Genomic DNA, 24,897 nt, shown 5'->3' with positions numbered 1-24,897 from the left:
TTGTCACAGTCCATGAACCAGCATGGACACATTGTCACCCAAAGTCCATATCCAGTGAGTCTTCTCTCCTGTGGTTGAGAGTCCGTGGTTCTCCGTGTGCCAAGTAGTTCTCTCGACATTTTGCCTATTACTTTGGCTCTGGGAAAATGTATTCTCCACACAATTTATATTTGTATACATATTTGTGCTTTAGCAGGCACTTGACCTGCTTAGGTTTAAGGAGCAAGTTCAGCCGCCTCCCGCCTCTTGCCTGCCGTTCCTTCCAGCATCAGCTCTGTTTCTGCAGCCTTTGCATGGCTCTTCGGGTCCCCCCTGTGTGTGCGCCACCCAGTGGTCAGCCTGGGAGACTTTGCTGGGCTCACCAAGATCAGATCCACTTGTGCACAGGTGGGCCTGAGCCCAGGCATTGTAAACAGATTTGTGGGGTCACTTTCTTGAGCCGTTTCCTCTCCACTGTCTTTTGGATACTTTCTAGTTCCCTGGGGCTCCCTTTTCCTGTCCTCCAGACATAAACCACCCACTTCCGTGATGGTGGTGGCACGGCCAGCTCCCTGCCAGTCTGCAGGAGAACTCGGAATCCTGGTGTTCCTCCCTGACCCACCTGCTGACATTCGCTTCTCAGAGCCTGCGAGCACCTGCCCCATACATTCTGCCCAGCCGTGGGAGCACTGCGCTTGCTTTATATTTCCACATTGGCATTGTGGCAAAGTGCACTTTACGTAAAATCTGCCATGTCAGTCATGAAAAACAATTTCCTAACAGGCCCTGTGGGAGCTCGCTGCTGCTTTTTTTTTTTTTTAATTTAAAAAATTATGGTAAAATACACATCACCTAAATTGTATCATGTTCACCATTTTTAAGTGTGCGGTCCAGGGGCATAAGCACATTCACGGTTCTGTGCAGCCATCACCACCATCCAGCCGCAGAACTTGTTCATCTTCCCAAACTGATACTTCGTCCTCAATTTTTAAGCCGCGTTAAAGCGTACGATTTAGTGGTCTTCAGTACATTCACAGTGTTGTATGACCACCACCTCTATCCAGTTCCACAACATTTTCATCACCCCCAAAAGACCCTGAACCACTGAGTAGCCACTCCCCATTCCCCTCAGGCCTTGGCAGCCACTGAGTTACCATCTGTCTGTATGTCATTGGAGTGGAATGCTGGAATGTGTGGCCTTTGGTGCCTGGCTTCCTCACTGAGCACAAGGTTTTCAAGGTTTGTCCATGTTGCGGCAGCACTTAGCAGGACTGCATTCCTTGTTATGGATAAACAATCAAAGGAATTGGAGAATTCCATTGGTATTATTGAGACCTGGGAGTTGGAGGAGGGAGGAAGGAGATACAGATTTAAGATCATTAGGTAGGGTCAACCCTTGTAGTCCTGAGTTTTAATTGGGAATATCAGCATGAGCCCCCGGGCTTCAAGCGATCCTCCCACCTCAGCCCTCTGAGTAGCTGGGGTCACAGGCATGCGCCACCACACTCAGCTAATTTTTAAAATTTTTGTAGAGAGGAGGTCTTGCCATGTTGCCCAAGCTGGTCTCGAACTCCTGGGCTCAGGCAATCCTCCCACTTTAGCCTCCCAAAGTGCTGGGATGACGGGCATGAGCCATTGTGCCCGTCCTCCGCATATATTTTTACATTAAGGGATATATATGTATTTCCTTATCTTGTGCCCTGAAAATGCCTAGAACAATATGACACCCCGGCTGTAATGCAGGCGGAAACACAGAGAGCAGCAGTCACCCAAGACTTGGGTCACGTCCGAGGGACTCAGGAGCCAACTAGCAATAGTCAGAGAGGGGCCAGTGGGAGCCTCGTAAGCATAGGGGCTGCAGTAGACAGGCACCCTTCACGTATGCCCAAATCCAGGTGTTCATAGTGATGTTTTATAAAGTCATCAATTTGACACTAAAAACATAAGCGACAAAAGAAAAAACAGATCAATTGGACTTCATTAAAATGAAACACTTTGGTCCACCAAAGGACACCATGAAGAAAGTGAAGAAACAGAAAAACCTACAGAAAGGCGGTAAATAGTTGTAAATCACATGACTGATGAGGGACTTGTATCCCGAATCTATTAACAACCCTTACAACTCAATAAGAAAGACAGAAAACCCAGTTCAAAAATGGACAAAGTGTCCGAATAGACGTTTCTCCGAAGAAGATGAACAAATGGCCAAGAAGCACAAGCAAAGATGGCCAGCATCACGGGCCATTAGAGGAACACAAAGCAAAATCATCATGAGATGCCACTTCACACACACTAGGATGGCTAGAATCAAAAAAGAAAAGGAGGCCGGGCCTGGTGGCTCATGCCTGTAATCCCAGCACTTTGGGAGGCCGAGGCAGGAGGATCGCTTGAGCTCAGGAGTTTAAGACCAGCCCAGACAACATCGTAAGACCCCGTCTCTACAAAAAGTAAAAAATTAGCCAGACATGATGGCACACTGCTGTAGTCCCAGCCACTTGGGAAGCTGAGGCGGGAGGATCACATAGAGCCCAGGAGTTCAAGGCTTCAGTGAGCTATGATGGTACCATTGCACTCCAGCCTGAGCGACAGAGCAAGACCCTGTTGTTTAAGAAAAAAAAGGAAAATCCCAGTGTTGGCCAGGATGAGGAGAGATTGGAACCCTTCTGCATTGCTGTAGGAATATAAAATGGTGCAGCTGTTATGGAAAAGTCTGGCAGTTCCTGAAAGATGTCAACACAGTTACCCCGTGACCCAGCAGTTCCACTCCCAGCTGTCCACCCAGGAGAAGTGAAAATATACATGCACACAAAATCCTGTACCTGAGCGTCCATAGAAGTGTTATTCTTAATGGCCTGAAAGTGGAAAGAGCCCAAATGTCCATCAGCTGGTGAATGTATAAACTAACTAGCAATAAAAAGGAAATCAACTACTCATCTGCGCTGGGACACGCGTGATCCTCGCCAGCCTCATGCTTGGTAGTGTATGATTCCATTGCTGTGCAGCATGTAGATAGGCCAGGTCAGTGCTGTGGGGACGTGGCAGCCCGCTGCCCCCAGATCACCTTGGAGCACATGACTGTGGTCAGCACCACCGTGCAGGCAGTGAGCCCTCCCAGTGCCATCGCCCCTGTCCTGGGTGCCCTGAGCTTCTCGCACCTGTGCTCCTGAATCTGCCTCAGTTGGATGTCATGGTGATGCCCAGGCTCTATGCTATTGGCAGTGTTGCCAATTTTACCTTATCATTGCCCCCGCCTGCCACACACTTTTCTGAGGAATGCACCAGAACGGACTGGCTCAGCCAGCTGCTCTGGCAGCTTCCCCAAGCCCGCCAAGGAGCATTTGTGTGACAAGTTGGCGCTGAAGGCACAGGCCACAGTGAAAGGGCCAAGGCACTCCCGGTGGCATTTCATGCCATGGAGTTGACCCTTTTGACGTGGTTAGGATGTTCAGAGCTCAAGAAGTAGGCCTGGCTGGGGGCTTTCTGGAGCAGGCGTAGCCTCTCAGGTCCTGGGGCTCCTCAGCGATCCTCTTCCCTTTTCTGGAAGGAGGAAAGAGCTGTGCTTCCGGAAGCCTTGAGCTTCTGGCTGGGTGGCTCCCATGGGTATCTCACTCACCTTTCCGGCGAGTGGGGGACTAATTCAGCCCCGCAGGAGCTGCTGCTCCTGGAGCCTGGGCCTTCCGGGCTGGAACGCCAGTCCCCTGGCTGGAAAGCAGGCCACCTCTCAGCCCCATCCTGTCGGCTTCATCTGTTCCCAGCTGGGACGGCGATCCTTGGAGGAGAACAGGCCTTGTCCTGGAGGTGTCCCTGTGGGCTGTGTTCTGTCATAGCAGGCCCTGCTGTGTGCTGCCTGCCCACCCAGCAAGCCATGCTGTCGGCTGCACGACAGACACATATGCTCCTGTATGTTTCTGCAGTGCTCAGCCCGTTCTGGCGTGTGGTCCCAGCATCATTACAGCCCAAGGCAGGGACCAGGCAGGGAGCACTTGCTAGTCCAAGACATTGCTGGGCAGGCACAGGGTCGTTGATGGGCCAGGCCCCTCCTTTCCCCTGGCTCCTGGCATGGGTGGCATGTGGGGGCAGGGGCACTGGGGACAGCTGGCCTTGGCCTGGCTTAGATGGAGCCAGTGAATGTCTGTGGTCTTCCTTGCCCAGGGCTGTGCCTGCGCCCAGAAGCAGCTACACTTCATGGACCAGTTGCTCGATACCATCCGGAGCCTGACCATTGGGTGCTCCAGTTGCTCGAGGTAAAGGTGTGGATGGCCCAGGTGGGCAGTATTGACGGGCTTCTCTTGGTCCTAGTTCTGGAGCTGGTAGGGGCTGGGGTGTCACTCCCCCTCTGATGCTGGCTGGGGTGTGACACCCCACTTGGGGATCTGGCTGGCCAATCAGGGGCCGGGCAGCATACGGGCAAGGGGCAGCTGTGTCCCAAGGGTGCTGGCTGTTGCCCAAGGCCCCGGGGGTGAGTATGAAGGTGGGATGTGGGCCTCAGAGCAGACGGGCCAGGCACAGAGGAGGGTGAGCACCTAGGGTGCTCCATGGGTGGGTAGGTAGGCGGGCAAAAATGGAGGAGCCAGGGCAGACAGGTGGGGCAGGATTCTGCGCGGTGGGGCTTGTCCTGGCCTCTGTGCCTGGCCCCGATGTGCTTCTGGGGCCTTCCCTGTGGGGCTGAGGGCCTGCTGGGCGAGTGCTCTGGCCTGTGACGGTGTGGCCCTGGGGGCTGCCTTTGCAGCCTGATGGAGCACTTCGAGGACACCAGGGAGAAGAACGAGGCCTTGCTGGGGGAGCTCTTCTCTAGCCCCCACCTGCAGATGCTCCTGAATCCAGAGTGCGACCCGTGGCCCCTGGACATGCAGCCCCTCCTCAACAAGCAGAGTGATGACTGGCAGTGGTACGTGCTCCTGGAGGCCTCAGTGGCAGCACCCTGGCCTCCTGTCCCAGCCCCAGGCTGCTTGGTTCTGTTACTGCAGACACCCCTGGCAGCGGTGAGTTGCAAGTGTTCCCTTTCTCTCCCTGCAGGGCCAGTGCCTCTGCCAAGTCCGAGGAGGAGGAGAAGCTGGCGGAGCTTGCCAGGCAGCTGCAGGAGAGTGCTGCCAAGTTGCACGCGCTTAGAACGGAGGTGAGGGTGCTAGCTCCTGGGAGGGGGTTGCTTGGAGGCAAGGCCCTGCTTTGTCACCTCCCTCAGCACGTGAGGCTTAGGCGAGGTTGCCTGTGCACCGGGCCTGACATGTTCTAGAATACTGTGGTGCTCAGTCCGCGGGGAGGTGAGAGGTGGGTCCCGTGGCTGGGGGAAGGGATCAGCCTCAGGTATTGGGTGGTGCCCACGCCTGAGCACATTGCCATGTGCCTTGCCGCACGTGGTCCTCCTGGCAGCCCTTGGCCTGGCCTCTGTTTGATTGCGGAGGAGACCGGGGCCCACAGGAGAGTGAGTGAGGGGGCTGAGGCTGGGAGCCAGAAGGTCTTGCTCTGGCCTGAGTCGCTCGGTACAGCTCCCCTGTGTCCCTGTTTCTGAAAGCTTTCTTCCTCGCCCTGGGTGTGCAGTGTCTGAGGTGAGGGCCGGTGGCAGCCTGGCTGGTGGGCAGGGCAGCCTCAAGGGACTCTGCCTCTGGCTTTGCAGTACTTTGCACAGCATGAGCAAGGGGCTGCTGCGGGCGCAGCCGACATCAGCACCCTAGACCAGAAGCTGCGTCTGGTCACTTCCGACTTCCACCAGCTAATCTTGGCTTTTCTCCAAGTCTACGACGACGAGCTGGGCGAGTGCTGCCAGCGCCCAGGCCCTGACCTCCACCCGTGCGGCCCCATCATCCAGGCCACGCACCAGAATCTGACTTCCTACAGCCAAGTAAGGGTGCCCTTCCCCTCCCCTCTAACCGCCCCCTCCCCTGTTCACTCAGACTGAGAGCTTATATCCTGCTTGGGCTCAGGGGCCTCAGCAGCCCCTGACAAGGGACCACAGGGCAGGACCAGGGGCTGGGAGGGGCTGGGCTGGGCTCCCTGCTGGCCAGTGGCGTGGCAGGGCTCTGGGCCCCTCAGTGGGCTGGGGAGGTGCTGCTTCTGGTCCTTGGACCTGCCCACCTTAGCAGGCACTAGCTAGGCCCAGATCCGGTGTGGGGTCCTGCGTGTCCCAGCCTCCAGGTGCTGTTCCTGTGTTGGCCGCACTGTTGTCACGTTACGCTCCAAAATAGCAAGGTCCATTCATTCTTGTGGATGACCAAGAACTGTGCCAGACAGGCAGACAAATGCCTGCCTGTCTGCCCATGAGCCTGCTCAGACAGGATGAGAGGAAGTGGGCTCGTCAATGTTTGCTTGTTTCGTTGTTCCACATGTGAGATCCCCAGAGGCCAACCTAAAAAGCCGGCTTTAGTTACGATGACTACAGTTCCCACGTGCGCAACTCTGCCCTTGGCTCAAGGATTCCGTGATGTTCATTTTGGTTTTCTAAGCGAGAGGCTCCGAGCCTTCCAACCTCTGACTGGCTGGTCCTGTGAGACCCCTCGATCAGGGATGGTGAGGCCACAGCCCTCTCCTGTCCATTTTTCTTGGGACATTTATTTTCCCCCCTTGCCAATTGCTGGGGCTGGGAGGACACGCAGTGCTGGCTGGCATGTCCCTAGGCATCGAGGGTTGCCAGAGCGACATGAGAGTGTGGCATCCCCACTGGGCCAGGAAGAGGGGACTTAGGTCCGAGAACTCTGATTGGTGACTTCCCCGCTGGGAGTTCTGTCCCTCACCCTTGGCTGTCTTTCAGGTGAATGCCACCTGATCAGTGTGAGTGGGGGTGGGAAGCAGGAGATGCCGTCGCTACGTGAGACCAGCGGCATTTAGTGCCTGCTCGCTCCCTCCCTCCCTCCCTCCCTCCCTCCCTCCCTCCCCAGCTGCTGCAAGTGGTCATGGCAGTTGCTGACACCTCTGCGAAGGCCGTGGAGACCGTGAAGAAGCAGCAAGGCGAGCAGATCTGCTGGGGTGGCAGCAGCTCCGTCATGAGTCTAGGTACGTGGCTGCCCACCTGGCCCTCTGCCTGGGGCTGCCCCACGCACAGGCTTCCTTTTCTGTGCTCCACTAGCCCTGGAGGAGCATTTGGGGACCGGCCCCTTCTTTTGTTTTTCATTTTCTAATGCATGTTTTCCTTCACTTGAAAAAATGCTTTCAGCGGATTATCAAATGAAAACGCTCATCGTAGAAAATTGAGATAACTCAGTAATAGAAAATGTGAAGCAAATGATAACAAATGCCTGAATGGAATAGTATTTGACAATTAAAAATGTAACTTGGGCCAGGCGCGGTGGCTCATGCCTGTAATCCCAGCACTTTGGGAAGCAGAGGAGGATGAACCACTTTGAGCATAGAGATCAGCCTGGGCAACATGGCAAAACCACGTTTCTACTAAAATACAGAAACTAGCTGGGCATGGTGGCGTGCACCTGCAGTCTCAGCTACTTGGGAGGCTGAGGTGGGAGGATCACTTGAGCCCATGAGAGGGAAGTTGCAGTGAGCTGAGGTCACGCCACAGTACTCCAGCCTGGGTGACAGCCAGACCCTGTCTTAAAAAAAAAAAAAAAAAAGTTACTTAAGGAAAATGGGAAAAGGCTTATAATGAGGGCCATCTTCTCAGAGTTGATTTTTGCATATGGAGTGAGGTGGGGATCCAGTTTCCTCGTATCCTATATGGATACACATTTGTCGCAGCACCATTGACTGGAAATCACTCTTTCTCTCATTGATCTGCAATACCATCACTCTTGGTAATTATTAAGTATCCATATGTTATGTGTGGGTTTCTGGGTTCTCCTCTGTTCCATTCTATTCCTTTTTTTTTTTGCTATCCCTGCACTAATACCACGTTTCAGGGGGCTAGAAAATAAACAGCAAAATAAACCCAAAGAAAGAAGGTAAAGCCAGTTTTCTACCTCTTCTAATTTATTTTTTAAATAACAGCTCTACTGAATTCAAGTTCATATAACATAAAATTTACCCTTTTAAAAGTGTACAATTTCATGGTCTTTAGGATATTCACAGAGTTGTGTAACCATCCTCTTATCACTATCTGAGTCCAGAACATTTTTATCACCCCCAGAAGAAACCCCATATGATTAGCAGCCATTCCCCATCCCTCCCTAGCCTCAACTCCTGGCAACCACTGTCATAGAGACGCTGTCTGTCTCTATGGATTTGCCTGTGCTGGACATTTCCTATAAATGGAATAACAATGTGTGGCCTTTTGTGACTGGTGTCTTTCACTGAGCATAAAGTTTTGTAAGGGTTATCCATGTAGTTCATTCCTTTTCATGGTTGAATAATATTTGATTGTGTGGATATCCCACATTTTGTTGTAGTTGGTAGATGTGGGTTTCTACTTTTTGGCTATGTACATCGTAAGTCTTTTGTGTGAACGTATTTTTCTTTTTCTTTTTGAGATGGAGTCTCGCTCTGTCACCCAGGCTGGAGTGCAGTCTCAGCTCACTGCAACCTCCACCTCCTGGGTTGAAGCAATTCTGCCTCAGCCTCCCGGGTAGCTGGGGTTACAGGCACTCACCACCACGCCTGACTAATTTTTGTATTTTTAAGTACAGATGGGGTTTTGCCATGTTGGCCGGGCTGGTCTCGAACTGCTGACCTCAGGTGATCCACCTGTCTCGGCCTCCCAAAGTACTGGGATTATAGGTATGAGCCACCGCGCCCAGCCTCTTTAACTCTGTTTTTTAAAGTTATTTTTTAAGTGGTTGGCTTTAGAATTACAGTTAGCATCCTAACTGAAAACAGTCTAGTACCAAATGAATTTCAATAGTATACAGAAACTGCCTCCTATTAAAGCAAAATGTATTTGTGGGTACACCATTTTAATTCCCTTGTTGGTTCTTTAACACTTCTTTTAAAAGTTATTTTTAAGTGGTTGTCCTTAGAATTGCATTTAGCATCCTAACTGAAAACAGTGTATTACCAAACTAATTTCAGTTGTATACAAAAACTTTGCCCATTAGAATGAAGCTGTATTAAATGTGTACATTGGTACACATTTTTATATTTATCGATGTTGTTACCTTTGTTGGAGTTCTTTATTTCTTCATGTGGATTTGTGTTACTGTCTAGTGTCCTTCCATGCCATCCCGGAGGCCTACCCTTAGTATTTCCTGTAGGGAAGGCTCACTAGTGATGAACTCCCTCATTTTTTATGTGGGAATGTCTTCATTTCTCCTTCATCTTTGAAGGATAGTTTTGCTGAATATAGAATTCTTTTGTACTTTGAATGTGTCATTTCAGTGTCCTCTGGCTGCCAAAGCTTCTGATGCGAAGCCAGCTGGTATATGATGAGTCTCTTCACTTTCTTTTCAAAATTCTGTTGGTCCCTGGCTTTGGACAGTTTGATTATAATCTGTCTTCGTGTGAATCACTGTGAATTTATTCCATTGGGAGCTTTTTGAGCTTTGTAAATGTGTCGTCATTCATGTTTTTCATCAACACTCAGCCAGGTAGTTGACAGCTCTTTCTCCTTCACATCTTGCTTGCTCAGAGCCTCAAGGTCAGCCAGAGGTGAGAGATCAGGGCCTTCTCAGGTCTCTCTCTCTGGGATTTTCACAGCCCGGCACACACCCATGGTCTTCCAGATTCCCAGGACTGTGCCAGAGCTTTCCAGAGCCTTTGTGGACATCTGATTTTCCAGCCTCTCCTGAGCTTCTTGTTTAGTCTCTTGTTTGCCCCGGCTATTATGCACTGCCTCAGGCAGCAGCAGCTAAAGCATTTGCTGTAAATGTTTTCCACTGTTGCACCCCCAAGTAGTGGTTTCAGGTCCATAGCCTCTGAGCCCTAGTTTTGGAGACTGTCTTTGGATGAACCCTCCAGCCAGCCGTCTCCTCGGAGAGCCAGGCTTCTCACTGCTCTTGGCCTCGGCACATAACTACCCCATGTATACCAGGCACTGAGGAGCCTCTTCTTGCCAATTGAACTGCAGCAGAACCCTCCACTTTAAAATGTATTATAGCGTTTATCCTAATCACCAGTCACTATGACTCTCTTCCCAGTTTTTATAATTGCTGTTAGTAAACTGCTTATAATCTATGCCATCATTCTTATAATGATCATTGGTATTCGCAACAGTGTGCCATCTCACCTGTGACTGTGGCACCATAGGACTGGTGGCAGGTCTTGCCTTTCAGAAAGGCCCCTTATCGCTTCTTGGCTAAGATCAAGTGTAGTATCTGTTCTTACCAGAAAGGCACCCTTTACATCCAGGCCGTGTGAACTGGGCAGTGCGTTGTGTACAGGGAAGTGTCTCTTCACCCTTGAGCCCCGGCCACTTTGGGGGTCTGGAGAGACGCCAGGGGAGCAGGCCTACGGCGGGCATCGGCCTCTCTAGGGGCTCTCAACTCAGCTCCCATCAGTTCAGCATCCTGATGTGGCTTGAGATGAATTCTTAGTGTCTGGACACACCAGAGAAAGGGTCAGCATCAAATCCACGCCAAAGGCCACTCGGGACAGTTCTTTATTTGTCCCGTTTCCCATCTGACCCCTTGAGGGCCGTGGTCTCGATGGCCCTCCTCCCGCTGTGGAAGGCCGTGTTTCTGTGCTGTTTCACCTCCCAGCGATCTGCATGCCCGCAGCCAGGCTCTGTTGGAGGTGCGGCACCACCTATGAAGTGAGGAGCAGCCAGTGTGCCTTCTGGGCTCTTGCTGGGGGCATGGCCTCATGTGAGTTGGGAGGGCCTTGGCACTGTGGATCAGCACCACACACCAGGAGTCGCCCCCCAGGCTTCCTGAAACCTCACTGCCATGAAAACATCAATGTATTTAGAAACCGAAGCAATGCTGTCAGTGCAAGAATGGGACAGGAGAGTTGAGGGTACCAACAGTGGAGAGATGCCACCAACCCCGGCAGTGGTGACGGGCTCAGCGGGCGGGGAAGGTGGCAGCCTAGAGGACAGCCCAAGGGGCAGCGGGGTGCCAGGGACAGGGCAGTGGTGAGCAGATGGAAGCAGAGGGCACAGGTGAAGCAGGTCTGGAGAGGCCCACCTCCCCGGCGAGACCCTAGCCTGTTCTTCTGTGAAGAAAGTGATGGAAATGAATAAGCAAACCAGCTCCCAAGCTGGTGGCCCGGCTCACACAGAGCCTGAGCGGCTCCCAGCTCGTCTCTTGATGTGGCTGATGTGGCTGGCGGCAGCCCGGGTGAAACCTACCTTTTTGCAGCCTCTGAGGGTCCATGGGGCAAGAGCTGATCCCTGCCTCGCCTCCATGGAACTCCTCCAAACTGTCCTCCAGAGAGAGACCCCACAGGCAACGGCTCCACCACAGCAGACCAGGGGCAGTGGCAGCTACCCAGATCCTCTTCCCAGCCCCTGTGGCTCGAAAAGCAGCCCCATGCAGGAGAGAAGGAAGCCCTGGATGAGCAGGAAATCTGACCTGAAGGACTTTCCGACACCACTGAATACACTCAGTGCGACATCCAGACATGCTTGGACAGCTGTGAAAACCCAGCCACAAAGAGACTAGAAACGAAGTGAGGCTGGGATCTCTAAGAAGAGAGAAAACAGAGAGAAAAACCAGCACAAAGATCAGCATCACACAGGCCCCAGCCAGGCACAGGGTCTCCAGGGCAGGGGACAGGGGAGATGAAGGGCAGGGCTCCGGAGGAGGTGGGCACACAGTACAAGCCAGGTGAGTGCAGGCGCCGAGCACAGGGTAGATGGAACCCACCTCCTGCCATCTGGAGTACAGGGGCCAAGGGCTGGGGCCAAAGCTTCAAGAGAGACAGCCTGTGGCCTCAGAGGAGCAGCCAGGATGCCTTACAAGCACTGAGGGCCCTGCACACCCGGCCTTGGGCTCTGGACCCTGCCAAGCCCTGCACCAAGAGTGAGGGCAGAGCAGGAAGGCCGGGATGGAGGTCTAGACGATTTGATAAGGGCAGATGCCACACGAGGGACACAGTCCGGAGCCTAGGAAGACAGTCTAGAGCAGTGCGCATTGCGGCAGGAAGCCCCTCTGCTGGGATGCCACTGGAAGCTGATGGCGAGTGGAGAGGGTCCTGGGGCGCAATTCCAGGCGGGCTGAGCACATTCCCCAGCTCGGTGTCACCCCGAGGCACACCCCAGGATTCCTGAGCTTCAGAGTCACCCTCGGGATGGGCAGAGGATGACAGATTCAGGGTTCACAGCACTTAATGTCAATGCTAATGACTTCAACATGTAAAAGGCAAAGTCTAGCTGACAGTGGGGCCACGGATGGGGAGCGGACAGGCAGGGCAGGTGAGGGGCTGTGTCCTCCTCTGTCTGCTGGGGGAGGGGGATGATGGCCATGGTCTAGGGTTGGCAACTGAGAGGCAGATGTGGTCATGGCAGATAAGGTCAGCGCAGCCACCACGGTCGCCACTGGGCCGGGCAGCCAAGGCTTAGGGCTGTCTGTGTGATTGGGTTTATTGTGTGTGCAGTGTTCTCCATCTGGTTAATACTGAACGTGCCACTGAAGTCAGGACAGCCCCTGCCTCCTCACTGTGTGCCATGTGCTGCCCCTGGGGCTTGGGGGGCAGGGGGCAGGTGGGCGGGGGCACAGCCGGGTCAACAGACCCTGGCCTGGGTCTCGGAACTGTGCTGCGGTCGGTGTGACCCAGCCCAGGGCTCCCAAGCTGCTGGCCTGGTCCCCACAGAGCCTGAGCAGCTCCCAGCTCGGCAGTGCCTGTCCCTTCCCTGCCATCCTGGTGGTGCCTGGGGCTCAAGGAGGATCAGCTGAGGACATGTGCCTTGAGTGGTGGGCAGGAGGCACCTCGCCTCTTGCGCCAGGCTCGCTTTCCTGTTGGTTTCTTTTCTATTTATTTATTTGTTTATTTTATTTATTTATTTTATATATATATATTTTTATTATACTTTAAGTTCTAGGGTACATGTGCACAACGTGCAGGTTAGTTACATATGTATACATGTGCCACGTTGGTGTGCTGCACCCATTAACTCGTCATTTACATTAGGTATATCTCCTAATGCTATCCCTCCTCCCTCCCCCCACCCCACAACAGGCCCCAGTGTGTGATGTTCCCCTTCCTGTGTCCAAGTGTTCTCATTGTTCAGTTCCCACCTATGAGTGAGAACATGCGGTGTTTGGTTTTTTGTCCTTGCGATAGTTTGCTGAGAATGATGGTTTCCAGCTTCATCCATGTCCCTACAAAGGACATGAACTCATCTTTTTTTATGGGCCGCGTAGTATTCCATGGTGTATATGTGCCATATTTTCTTAATCCAGTCTATCAGTGTTGGACATTTGGGTTGGTTCCAAGTCTTTGCTATTGTGAATAGTGCTGCAATAAACATACGTGTGCATGTGTCTGTATAGCAGCATGATTTATAGTCCTTTGGGTATATACCCAGTAATGGGATGGCTGGGTCAAATGGTATTTCTAGTTCTAGATCCCTGAGGAATCGCCACACTGACTTCCACAATGGTGGAACTAGTTTACACTCCCACCATCCTTTTGGTTTCTTTTCTTTCCTCTGCAGCTACCAAGATGAATGAACTAATGGAGAAATAGAAAGTCTTCAGTGATGGCCTACGCCAAAGCACAGGATGGGGCGGGCAGGAAGCCCTCTCCCAAGATCGAGTTGGCCGAGGATGGATGATTGTGGCAGCAGAAGCCGTTGCAGCCCCACGTTGTGCTCTAGGCAGGGACCTTTGGCCCCTTTGGGGAGGGAGAGACAGACGGGCGGTTTGACTTGGACACAAAGAAAGCCTTGGTTTCTAAGCAGTTGCCTCCAGCCTGCTTTCTGCTTCCTCAGCTCTATGTCTCTCTCCTTCCCCTTGTCCTGAGCTGCTCAGGTGGCCCAGGTCTGGGCAGGCTGGCGGCGGCCCTCCTGTCATCTTGGCGGGCCTGGGCTGCGTCCTCTTCCTGTGGCTCCACTCCTCCCTGCTGCTGCCAGCCACTTGAAAGCAGAGAACCCACTGTCGCCTCCCCCGGCTGGCCTTAGGGTCCTGTGCGAGACGCACCCCTCAGCCGCCCTCCTTGAGTGCCCCTGGATCCCCCGCGGGGTACCAGTTTCCTGCTCCTCCCTGGCTGGGCGCTCAGCTCTGGGCTGGGGAATTCAGCCTGACTGGTTGTCCAGGAAGATGCTGTCTGGGCTTCCCAGGGTGACCCAGTATCTCCCTGAGCAGTGTGCCTGTCACAGCTGCCTCCCTCCCTGTGAGTACCGGAACAGGCGTGACTGGTAGGGCCTCTGCCTCCTTGGGGCCATTGTACCTGCTGCTGCCCGCCCCACCCTGCTCCCTCCTGGCACCATCTCCTTTGCTTCCCCAAGGTCCCTGTGGGCACACAAGGCAAGGAGGCCAGGAGGAGCCAGGTGCCAGACCCCCCTCCATCCCAGTCGCCTGAGGCATCCCCCAGCCACCACTGTGAGAGGTGGGAGGCCGGGCAGGCCTGTGGTCACCATGGTGCAGGTGCACCACCTGATTTATAGGCCAAGGGACTCCTCTTGGTCACCTCTCTGTGCCCCCAGCATGGGGCTGGCCCTGCAGTGCACCCACCATCAAGGGCTGTTGTCTCTTGCTCCAGAATGAGGTCTTCAGGGCGCCACTGCTCGCAGGACCGGGAAGGACCTGGTGCCCTTTGCCTGGAGCGGGATAGACAGGGCAGGTCCCTGAGCCTGGGGTCCGAGGGGCTGGGCTTCACTCCTCCTGTAGTCCCGGCGCTCCTGGCCCACCCCCTAACGTTGCTTATCTGTGGTGGAGGAAGCATTAGCTCAGCTGCGGCCTGCACAGCTCCCGGGCCAGGCCCACCTCCCTTCCTTCCCCAGCAGCCACTGTTAGGTGCACGGTAGACATGATGAAGCGACGTCCTTAAAGCAGATAGCATCTCCCGAGGCTGCCCCATCCCTAGGTTTTGGGGGAGCACCCCTTCCCCTTTGGAGGCTGAGCACGGCATGTGTGGGCACCTTGGTCACACTCCAGAGCTCGCTTCATCCCCACGAGCGGCACCTGATCTCCAGTGACGGGGAGACTGAGGCCTGGCAAAGAGGACCTGTTGCCTTTGTGTAACTGGCCCCAGCATGGGGGAGGCATTGGCCCCAGCATGGGGGAGGCATTGACCCCAGGCCTGCCAGGCCTGGCAGCCACAGCCTGGCTAGGTGGAGGTTACTGCCTTCCGCACCACTCTGGCTTCCTCCCCGTGCCTGTGAAGAGCTCGGGGCCTGCTTCCTAATTTGTAAACACGGGGCGTGTGTCTCAGTGGCTGTGAGCTAGCGAGGGGGTGGCGAGCGAGCCGGCTGCGCAGGTCCTGAGGCCCCAGGCCTCATTGTTGGCCAACAGGCAGCTGGGGGCGGGCTGCGGCCGCTGATTAAAGGCCGCCTAGAGCAGCCTGTGTGGCGACAGGTGCCCAGAAGCCCAGGAAGCCGGTCAGTGCCCGCCCCAGGTAAGCTGGTGTGGTGGGGTTGGCAAGGACAGTCTCCCCGGGAGCCTGGGGGCAAGCAGGCAGAGGCCAGCTCGGGACCAGCACCTGTGTGCCAGGGACAAGGGTGGGGAGGTCGAGCCCAGCGGGAGCTGGGTGCACTGCATGGGCTCTTTCGGGTGGCTGCTTGCCTGCTTCCCGGCAGCTGGTTCCAGGGCTGGAGACCCAGTGTGCTATGCCCCAGGTTCCCAGCCAAGGCATTCCGGTGAAGGGGCTGGACCCCGCCAAGGTGCGGTCCCTGAGCTGCCTCTGCCTCTCCCAATCCCTGCTGGGGACTGTGGCTGGAGGCAGGCAGTAGAGCGCTCTGAGGCCTGCCTTTTCTGTTCAGTAGGTGACAGGAGTGGGGCTGACGCTCCCAGAGCCAAAGGTCACAGGTGCTGTGGTCGGGGGTGGCAGGAAGTGAGCCCCAGAAGGGTCAGAGCTTTGGCTAGGGGGAGGATGGTACACAGCAGGGCCCGGGCGAACCCCTCTCTCCAGTCCTCAGGGTTTGTGCCTCTCGCTCGGACAGTTTGAGGACTTGCTATCCCCGTGGGAACATCACCATGTCCGAGGCACCCCGGGCCGAGACCTTTGTCTTCCTGGACCTGGAAGCCACTGGGCTCCCCAGTGTGGAGCCCGAGATTGCCGAGCTGTCCCTCTTTGCTGTCCACCGCTCCTCCCTGGAGAACCCGGAGCACGACGAGTCTGGTGCCCTAGTATTGCCCCGGGTCCTGGACAAGCTCACGCTGTGCATGTGCCCGGAGCGCCCCTTCACTGCCAAGGCCAGCGAGATCACCGGCCTGAGCAGTGAGGGCCTGGCGCGATGCCGGAAGGCTGGCTTTGATGGCGCCGTGGTGCGGACGCTGCAGGCCTTCCTGAGCCGCCAGGCAGGGCCCATCTGCCTTGTGGCCCACAATGGCTTTGATTATGATTTCCCCCTGCTGTGTGCCGAGCTGCGGCGCCTGGGTGCCCGCCTGCCCCGGGACACTGTCTGCCTGGACACGCTGCCGGCCCTGCGGGGCCTGGACCGCGCCCACAGCCACGGCACCCGGGCCCGGGGCCGCCAGGGTTACAGCCTCGGCAGCCTCTTCCACCGCTACTTCCGGGCAGAGCCAAGCGCAGCCCACTCAGCCGAGGGCGACGTGCACACCCTGCTCCTGATCTTCCTGCACCGCGCCGCAGAGCTGCTCGCCTGGGCCGATGAGCAGGCCCGTGGGTGGGCCCACATCGAGCCCATGTACTTGCCGCCTGATGACCCCAGCCTGGAGGCCTGAGCACCAGGGCCACCTCCTGTGCCATGGACAGTGCCAGCCTCCACCGTTCAGCTGGCCTCTACCACCCCCGGCTCCTCCTATCTGGGCAGCCTCAGGTCCGTGCACCTGCCAGGCCTTCCCTGGCTGCCTGACCAGCCATACGGCCCTGGATTCCTCTCCAGGCCCCGCTTCCAGGGCCGTGCTCTCCCGGCTGGCCTGGGTGCCCAGCAGAGTTTGCTGTTTCCCAATAAACATTGCCAACTACTCACCCTCCGACTAGCTGGCCAGATACTAGGGGCTGGACTCCCTCGACCCCCTGCTGAGCAGGGCCAGGCGGTGAGCCATGCCAGGGGCCAGCACAAGACCTCCAGGGCCGCCCCCCTATGGCCTCTCCTCGCGGTGAGGACCGTGGGTGGCTGGGTAGGGAGACGTCAAGCTCTTGGGTTGGTCTGAGGGCTGATGGGTTGTGGCTGTGGGCTGATTGCCGCCCATCTGCATTGTCACCCCAGAGGCCCAAAGAAGCCATGAGTAGGGCCTTAAGCCCACAGAGCCGGCCGCCTGCCTGGGCACAAAGCTCAGCTGCAGCGCTTGCCCGCCGTGGGACCTGGAGTCTCTGTCCCTGCTCTGTGAAGTGGTAACAGGGTGAAATGTTAAGAAACGGGGTGCTGGGGAAAAGGGAGGTGCCCCCACATGTGGGCATGCACATGTACATGTACATGCTAAGGGCCCTGACGGTGCACGGAGCAGAGGTGGGGTGGCTGGTGCTGTGAGGGTGACCCTGGAAGGGAGCCTATCCTGCAGCCCGTGTCCCCGTAGGGCCAGGAGGCCGCTCGGTGGGAGGGCAGCTTCTGGCCACCGCACTGTGCTTTGGGTTCCCTGCTAACCTGCCTCAGGGGCCCCACCCTGAGGCACTTCCAGTCTTGGGAGGCCTCATGGGTGGGGAGAGACCTGTCACCAACGCTGGGTCAGGTAAGAAGGGATGGGGTGGCCACGCCTGAGAGTGACTCACATGAGCAAAGCCTGAGCCTCCAGCCAGCTGGACAATCTGGGAAGCCCTAAGTAGGTCAGAATGACTGGAGCCACTGCAGCGTGCACGGTGGTAGGATGGTGAGGCCAGAGCACAGGCAGTGACCACCTCAGACCTTCCTTGTGGCCCGGGCCAGGCCTGACCCTGATGGCAGCGGGGAGCCGCGGAGGGTCATGAGCAGGAGAGGGGAAAAGTCTGGTGTAGGCTTCTGCCATATGCTGCTTGGGCTGCGTGCCGAGCTGTTCTCGAGTTGCTGTGAAGAAATACTTGAGGCTGGGTCATTTACAAAGACAGCGGGTTTATTTTGGCTCAGCAGTGCTGGCATCTGTTAACTGGTGGGGCCTCAGGAAGCTTCCACTTATGGCAGAAGGCAAAGGGGGAGCAAGAGAGAGGCGGGGAGGTGAACTCACAGCGAGAATTCAACTCCTTGCGGAGGTGAGGACGGCACCAAGCCATTCATGAGGGATCCAACCCCATGACCCAAACGCCTCCCACCAAGGCCCCACCTCCAACATTGGGGGTTACATCTCAAACTGAGATTTGGAGGGGACGAACGTCCAAACCACATCAGGCTGCTGCATGGAGAATGGGCTGGAGAGGACAGCGACGGCAAGGCGGGCAGAAGCAGAGCATGGAGGGCTTTGGTGGAGGGAGGGAGAGCTATGGGCCTGGCCAAGGACAGTGGCAGCAGGGGAGGGGAGGGGGCACGGTCTGGGGAAGCCCCACAGGACCTAGTTTGGGAATGTGGTTAGTAACCAGAAGATCTTGTCACAGCCAAGCTTCCCGAGGAGAGCATCACCTGGGAGAGTGTCACAAGCCCTGGGCTGGCCCTACAGAAGCTGGAGTAGGGGACACTGAGCCCCCAGATCCCCTGGTGCCCAGACAGGGCCTGCTTCTGTTTATCTTACTGGCCAGGCTCCAGCTGGGCAGCCGAATCCAGCAGGTGTTACCCTTAAAACCCTGGCCTTGGTTGGGCATGGTGGCTTACGCCTATAATCCCAGCACTTTGGGAGGCCAAGGCAGGCGGATTGCTGGAGCCCAGGAGTTTGAGACTGACCGGGGCAACATAGCAAGACCCTATCTCTACAAAAATTAAAAAGAAAAATTAGGAGTGGAGGCACACATCTGTAGTCCCAGCTACTCAGGAGGCTGAGGGCCAGAGGATCACTTGAGCCTGGGAAAGTGAGGCTGCAGTGAGCCATGATGGCACCACTGTACTCCAGCCTGGGCGACAGTGAGACCCCCCTTCCAAATCCAAAAACAAGAAAAAAAACCTGGTCTTGCCACTGACCTGCTGGGTAGGTGACACCAAGTGGGGCCCTTCTCATTGGGCATGCTAGAAGGGTCTCAACCCCAGGATGGGACAGACAGGCAGGTGACAGCCTGATTTTGGCTGCTGCCGCCTCTGTGGAGGGGTCTCTGGTTTTGGGCCCTCTCACCTGTCTTGGGCTGAGGTGCCTCTCTCTCATCACTCTGGGCTCCCCTGGCCTCACGGTGGCCTGGCCTCGGGCGCCCTCCCCGAGTCCATGTCGAGACTGGCCAGGCCAGGCGTCTTGCGTACCATGCTGCCCAGACAGGCTGTGACCTGCCTCTCTGCTGCCTCAAAGCAGCAATGTGCTTATAAATGGTTAACAACCAGCTTTCCAGGAAAGGAAATGTACACGTATGTATGTAGGCATGGATCTCTCTCCCTTCCTCCCCTGTCTCTTTCTCTATATACACACAGGCTATACACACAGGCACATGCATACATATACATGAACACACAATTTACAAATAATAAAATCCACAATATATATAAAATATGCAACAAAATACACAATATACTCTTCGCCGTAAATTCCACATGGCCAATGAATACTCACAAAATACCTTCATTGACTTTTACTGAGTTCTTGTTATCTGTACCCTGTACTTGAGTGCGATGGATGGACAGCTGTGCTTCCCACATACATGTTGGCTGATGTTTTCATTTATTTTAATGAGTAAGATAAACATGAAGCAGCAAAGATGAGCAACTTCTTTGCTTAATTGGATGATAGTTTTCAAATACCGAAAATGTTTATTTTTATTTATTTTTTTGCTATTTATAATGTAATGGCCGCAGACCCAGCATTCTTCAGTTTAATCTGCAATATTAGCATTTTCTTCACCTCTTTCTAAAGTCTAGGCAATCAACAAAGCAGTAATACATCAAGCCCTGGCATGCCGTGGCATGCCGAGCTCTGCGGTATAATACTTCCACTTGGCCAGTCTTAAGCTACCAACAGGAAGTCACTGAAGGTGACCTTGGGAAGAGATTCCAGGATTTCCACCACACACATCTGACAGGTGTCAACACACAGCAACAGTAAAGCATGCTCGAATAATGAAGACGTGAGTTTTGAGTATCTCCTTTATTTTTCATATAATTTGTCAGTTTACATAATTTAACTTTTTAATAATGATAGTGTTTGTTTAGCTCTCAAAATTCCTGGACGTTTAACATCTATTAGAATGGGTAAAACAAAAACCACTGACCACACCAAGTGTTGGTTTACCAGGGAGGAGATGTGGAGCACCGGGGGTGCCCGTGCCTTTCTGGTGGGAAGGGAAAATGGGGCAGCCACTTGGGAAAACACTTCGGCAGTGTCCGAAAATGTTAAACATGCACCTACCACATCAGCCAACAATTCCCCTCCTAGATACTTACCCAAGACAAAGGGATTGATGTAACCATACAAACACTCATACTCCAACGTTCACAGCAGCTTTTTCATAATAGCCCCAAACAGGAAACAGCCCAAATGTTCATCATCAGGTGAGTGGTTGGACACGCCGCAGTGCGTCCACACCACGGAATACTACTCAGCAGGAAGAAGTGAGCTCCCAATGTGCAAGCTCATTTGCATGGGACTCAAGGTGATGCTGTGGAGCCAACAGCGAACCGACTCCACTGCTCCAGCTCGCCCCTGGCCAGCTGCCTGCCCCTCATCAAGCTGCATCACTGACTGATGAGCCCCGTCAGGCCACCAGGGGTGTCTGCCAGTGGGGAGACAGCGGTGATCACGGGAGTGTACCTGGGGGACATGTGACATAAGCCTATTGAAAATGGAATTCACTATGGAGAGGGATGAATACTAAAATCAAAGGCCATAACATTTCCAGTTTGTCTTTGTGCGGAAGACAATGTGGGGAGCACGCTGAAAGCCGCAGCAGAAGGTTGGGGAGTGCCACGGGACCACAGCGGGACGTCTGCATTTCTTGTAAATGATATCTGCCCCCTGCCTGTTGCAAAGAAGTTAAGCAGCATTGATGAGTGTCAGCTGCGGAGGTTTCATGTAGGGGACCTCCAGGAACAGTATCAGCATTGTGGGGACACTGCTTCCTATAGCTCAGCTTGTGAACACACACCTCCCACTCACAGATGTGTACACTCACACACTTGCATGCACACAGACACACTTGTGCACACACCCTCACATATACTCAAGCACTCACACACCCGAGCACACCCCCACACTTGCACACACACATGCACACACCTGCACACATATTTACACACAGTACACCCACACACGCTCGCACACACTAGCACTCACACACACCTGTACACAGTTGCACACACAACCACACACATGCACAAACACTTGCACATACACTCACTCTCGCACACACTTGTACACACTGTGCCAATCCATTCTAGACTTGTATTTGCCATTTAATGTCTCTTGAGCATCAACCTCTTCTAAGGGATTCAGCTGGGACAAGAACCTGGGGAGTATTACTTGCATTTTGTCTTAGTCCCTATGGGCTGCTATAACAAAAATACTTTAGACTGGGTGGCTTATAAACAGCAAACAGTTATTGCTCACAGTTCTCTAGTCTGGGAAGGCCACGATCAAGGCACCAGCAGGTTCAGAGTCTGGCGAGGGCTGGTTCCTCGAATTGTGGAAAGGACTAGCTGCCTCACAGGGTCTCCTGTAAGGGCACTAATCTCATTCATGGTGGTGCAGCCCTCATGACCTACTCACCTTCTAAATGCCCCACCTCCTACTACTGTCACCTTGTTGATTCAGTTTTAACATGAATTTTGGGGGTACACATGCAAGTCCCCACTCCCCCACCACATACACATGCACCCCCCACTCATACATCACATACCCCCACCCCCACAACCTATACATGCACACACACACATTTACACTTGTGCCACACACACTCCCCTGACACACACATGCCACTCCCACACACTCACTTGTGATTTGGCATAAGGCACTCGAAGGCTGCAATTTCCCTCTAAATGTAGATTTTTTTGGAATCAAAATCATGTTCTTTAATTGCCTTTTATACTTGGTATCATGCTGAACATAAATTATTTTAAGTTGCAGCATAGACATGAATCCATTTACAGCACGGCATTTCAATCAAAATACTGAGGAAGACAGCATATGTGTGTCTGTGTATTTATTTTGTGCATGGACATTTTTTCTAATCTTTAAAATTTATCCAGTATATCTTTTGGGTTTTTGGAGTAAAATTGGTGTGTTATTATTGATATCAGCAATATCTTCCATGATAGATAAGTTAAGGTTTTATGAAGTTTTGAAAACTTTTGAAAAATAAATTTAATACAGTTTCTGATAATTTCTTTAAGATTTCAGAAAGTCAAGAGTGTACAGATGTTGATCCTCAGGAGCTTCATTTACCTGGCCCATCACTGAAGAGGCAGAAATGGAAGACCAGGCTGAGGGAGGCTGGGAAGAGGGGTATCTGGAGGCTGAAGAGGAAGACGATGAAGATGCCGAGGAAGAACAAGAACCTGAGGTGACGGCAGCTGGCAGTGAGTGTGGGTTTTTTACTTTACAGACACACCCTGTGGCATTCTTCTTGATATGGGAACTAACTTGTAAGAGAAACGCAGTTTCTCCATGGTTTTTCTAAAAGGATCTGATGTTCTCCTGGTGGTCTGAATTTGCATTGGCTGACACTTGAGGGAGCTCTCACAATGGTGCTAGTACCACTCTTACGCGTTTGCAGTGCACGTTCAGGGCTGAAAAGCTCTGGAAGCAGGTATGTCAGTTCCTGCTCCAGGGAGCCTCATGCGTTAAATGACACCCATGGGTCACTGGATAAGGTCATTCAAAATATATCCTCTGGGGGTATCCAGTTGTCCATCAGCCTGGCAGATCTCTGCGTGGTGACGAAGAGAGCTGCTCTCTATGCCCATTAGAAGAGCCAAATTGTTTTCCATGTGTCGAACTTTTAAAATTACAAATATCACCCACTGACTACGTTCCTATTTCAATAGGGAGCAGCAGTATATGTGGGCATAGTATTGGCTGGGTGAATACAATTTCATACTTTCATATTCCAAAGCTACAGATAGTTTTTAGAGGTAATTATATGTTTAAAGGGAAGTGTCCAATCTTTTTTTTTTTTTTTTTGAGATGAAGTTTCGCTCTGGTCACCCAGGCTGGAATGCAATGGCACGATCTTGGCTCACCACAACCTCCGCCTCCTGGGTTCAAGCGATTCTCTTGCCTCAGCCTCCCGAGTAACTGGGATTACAGGCGCATGCCACCATGCCCAGCTAATTTTTGTATATTTAGTAGAGACAGGGTTTTGCCATGTTAGCCAGGCCGGTCTCGAACTCCTGACCTCAGGTGATCTGCCCGCTTTGGCCTCCCAAAATGCTGGGATTACAGGTGTGAGCCACCATGCCCAGCTGAATCTTTTAAAACTTTGATTTATTAGTATCTTTTGAGTGATTCGGGTATTTTAAATTAAAGTGTGTATTCAATCTGTACCCTAAACATTATGGCCAGTGATGCGTTTGGTGTTGAAATTGTATCTATCAATAAGCTTGACACTTTATTATCGCTAAATGCAGATTTTACTGTGTCCTATAGGTTTGCTATTAAACATTCTTCTTTGCTTTGCTTTAGGAATAGCTTGTAATTTTGCTTTCCATTCCCTTCTTGATCTCATGCTTATATACTGCAGTTTATCTTAATTTCTGAGTAATTATGATTTCATGATCTTTTTTTTTTTTTTTTTTTTTTGAGACAGGGTCTCATTGTCACCCAGGTTGGAATGCACTGTCGCAATCTTGGCTCACTGCAACTTCCGCCTCCCGGGCTCAAACTATCTTTCCACCTCATTCTCCCAAATAGCTGGGACTACAGGCATGCGCCACCACAGCCTGCCAATTTTTGTATTTATTGTATAGATGGGGTTTTGCCATGTTTCCCTCTGGTCTCGAACTCCTGAGCTCAAGTGATCAACCCTCCTCGGCCTCCCAAAGGGCTGGGATTACAGGCATGAGCTACCACACCCAGCCAGTCATGTTTTGTTGTGTATTTTAGTTGTATTGGATAATAATCTGAGGATGTGTTGCTTAAAATATCACCTTTTCGAATTAAGGTAGTTTGGGGGCTGCTTGAGTTCTCTAGGGATGCCATAGCAAAGTTCCATAAACTAGGGGGCTTCGACAGCAGAAATGGACTGTTTCTCGGATCTGGAGGCCAGAAGTCAGAGATCGAGGTGTTGGCAGGGCAAGGTTCCCCCTGGGGGCCGTGAGGGAGAATCTATTCCAGGCTCTCCCCCAGCTTCCGGGACTTTGCTGGCCATCTTTGGTGTTCCTTGATTTGTGGCAGCCTCTCCCCAATCTCTGCCTTCATCTTCACACAGCCCTCTTTCTCCCTGCATACAAGGCGCTGTGTCCACATTTCTTCTTTTTATAATGACACAGTCATATTGGATTACAGCCCACCCTAATGACCTCATTTTAACTTGATTACCTCTGTGAAGATCCCCAAATAAGGCTCCATTCTGAGGTACTGGGGGTTTGGGCTGTAATATATCTTTTTTTAGGGGGAGGAGGGAGGCAGACACAATTCAATGGATAACAGAGGCCGAATACATAAATAACTGTAAAATATGTTATAGACTCTGAAAAATGCACCTGCTTCAGAGATGCAGGCTTTTCTATATATCTCTAAAATCTAGTTGACAATTGTACTATTCAATTTCCTTTACATTTTTACTTGTTTTTTTTTTTGTTGACTATATCTGTCTGATTTAATGACAATATATTAGAACATTCCATTGTAATTGCATTTTCTTGAAGTCTTCCTTCATGTCTAGTCATTTTTCTTTATGCATTTAGTTGCTGTGTGTTTGTGCTTACTGCATTACAACTGTATTAATACACACACATATATATATACACACGCTCTAACACACATATACTCATGACACATATATACT

General features: G+C 52.9%; 2 protein-coding genes across 7 annotated transcripts in view, besides 1 other annotated feature; both read left to right on the top strand.

Moving 5' to 3' along the window:
• The window catches only part of HAUS7 (HAUS augmin like complex subunit 7), a 47,798-nt gene extending 34,106 nt beyond the window's left edge, over positions 1-13,692 (top strand). For 2 of the 6 annotated variants that reach the window (NM_001385483.1, NM_001385481.1), the window contains 7 exons: positions 4,132-4,223; positions 4,709-4,867; positions 4,996-5,095; positions 5,594-5,818; positions 6,307-6,483; positions 6,852-6,966; positions 13,451-13,692. In NM_001385483.1, the coding sequence (NP_001372412.1) occupies positions 4,132-4,223; positions 4,709-4,867; positions 4,996-5,095; positions 5,594-5,818; positions 6,307-6,483; positions 6,852-6,966; positions 13,451-13,482 (900 nt within the window). In that variant the 3' untranslated portion in view covers positions 13,483-13,692. The remainder of the gene's footprint in view (positions 1-4,131; positions 4,224-4,708; positions 4,868-4,995; positions 5,096-5,593; positions 5,819-6,306; positions 6,484-6,851; positions 6,967-13,450) is intronic. The other 4 variants (NR_169631.1, NR_169630.1, NR_073156.2 and 1 more) reach the window with 3 other exon arrangements.
• Positions 236-394: a silencer, noted in NCBI's record as "fragment chrX:152726424-152726582 (GRCh37/hg19 assembly coordinates)". NCBI's record gives its function as "represses an EF-1alpha promoter that drives an FKBP-Casp9 reporter gene in an ReSE screen in HepG2 liver carcinoma cells {active_cell/tissue: HepG2}" and the evidence as "EXISTENCE:reporter gene assay evidence [ECO:0000049][PMID:32094911]".
• Positions 15,304-16,887, top strand: TREX2 (three prime repair exonuclease 2). The gene is made up of 2 exons (NM_080701.4): positions 15,304-15,351; positions 15,865-16,887. Exon 2 carries the CDS (start codon positions 15,930-15,932, stop codon positions 16,638-16,640), a length of 711 nt encoding a protein of 236 aa, NP_542432.2. The 5' UTR covers positions 15,304-15,351; positions 15,865-15,929; the 3' UTR covers positions 16,641-16,887.

This window comes from Homo sapiens, chromosome X, assembly GCF_000001405.40.
Source record: "Homo sapiens chromosome X, GRCh38.p14 Primary Assembly".
In the NCBI taxonomy this organism is placed as follows: Eukaryota; Metazoa; Chordata; class Mammalia; order Primates; family Hominidae; genus Homo; species Homo sapiens.
This window is presented reverse-complemented; position numbering and strand designations above follow the sequence as displayed.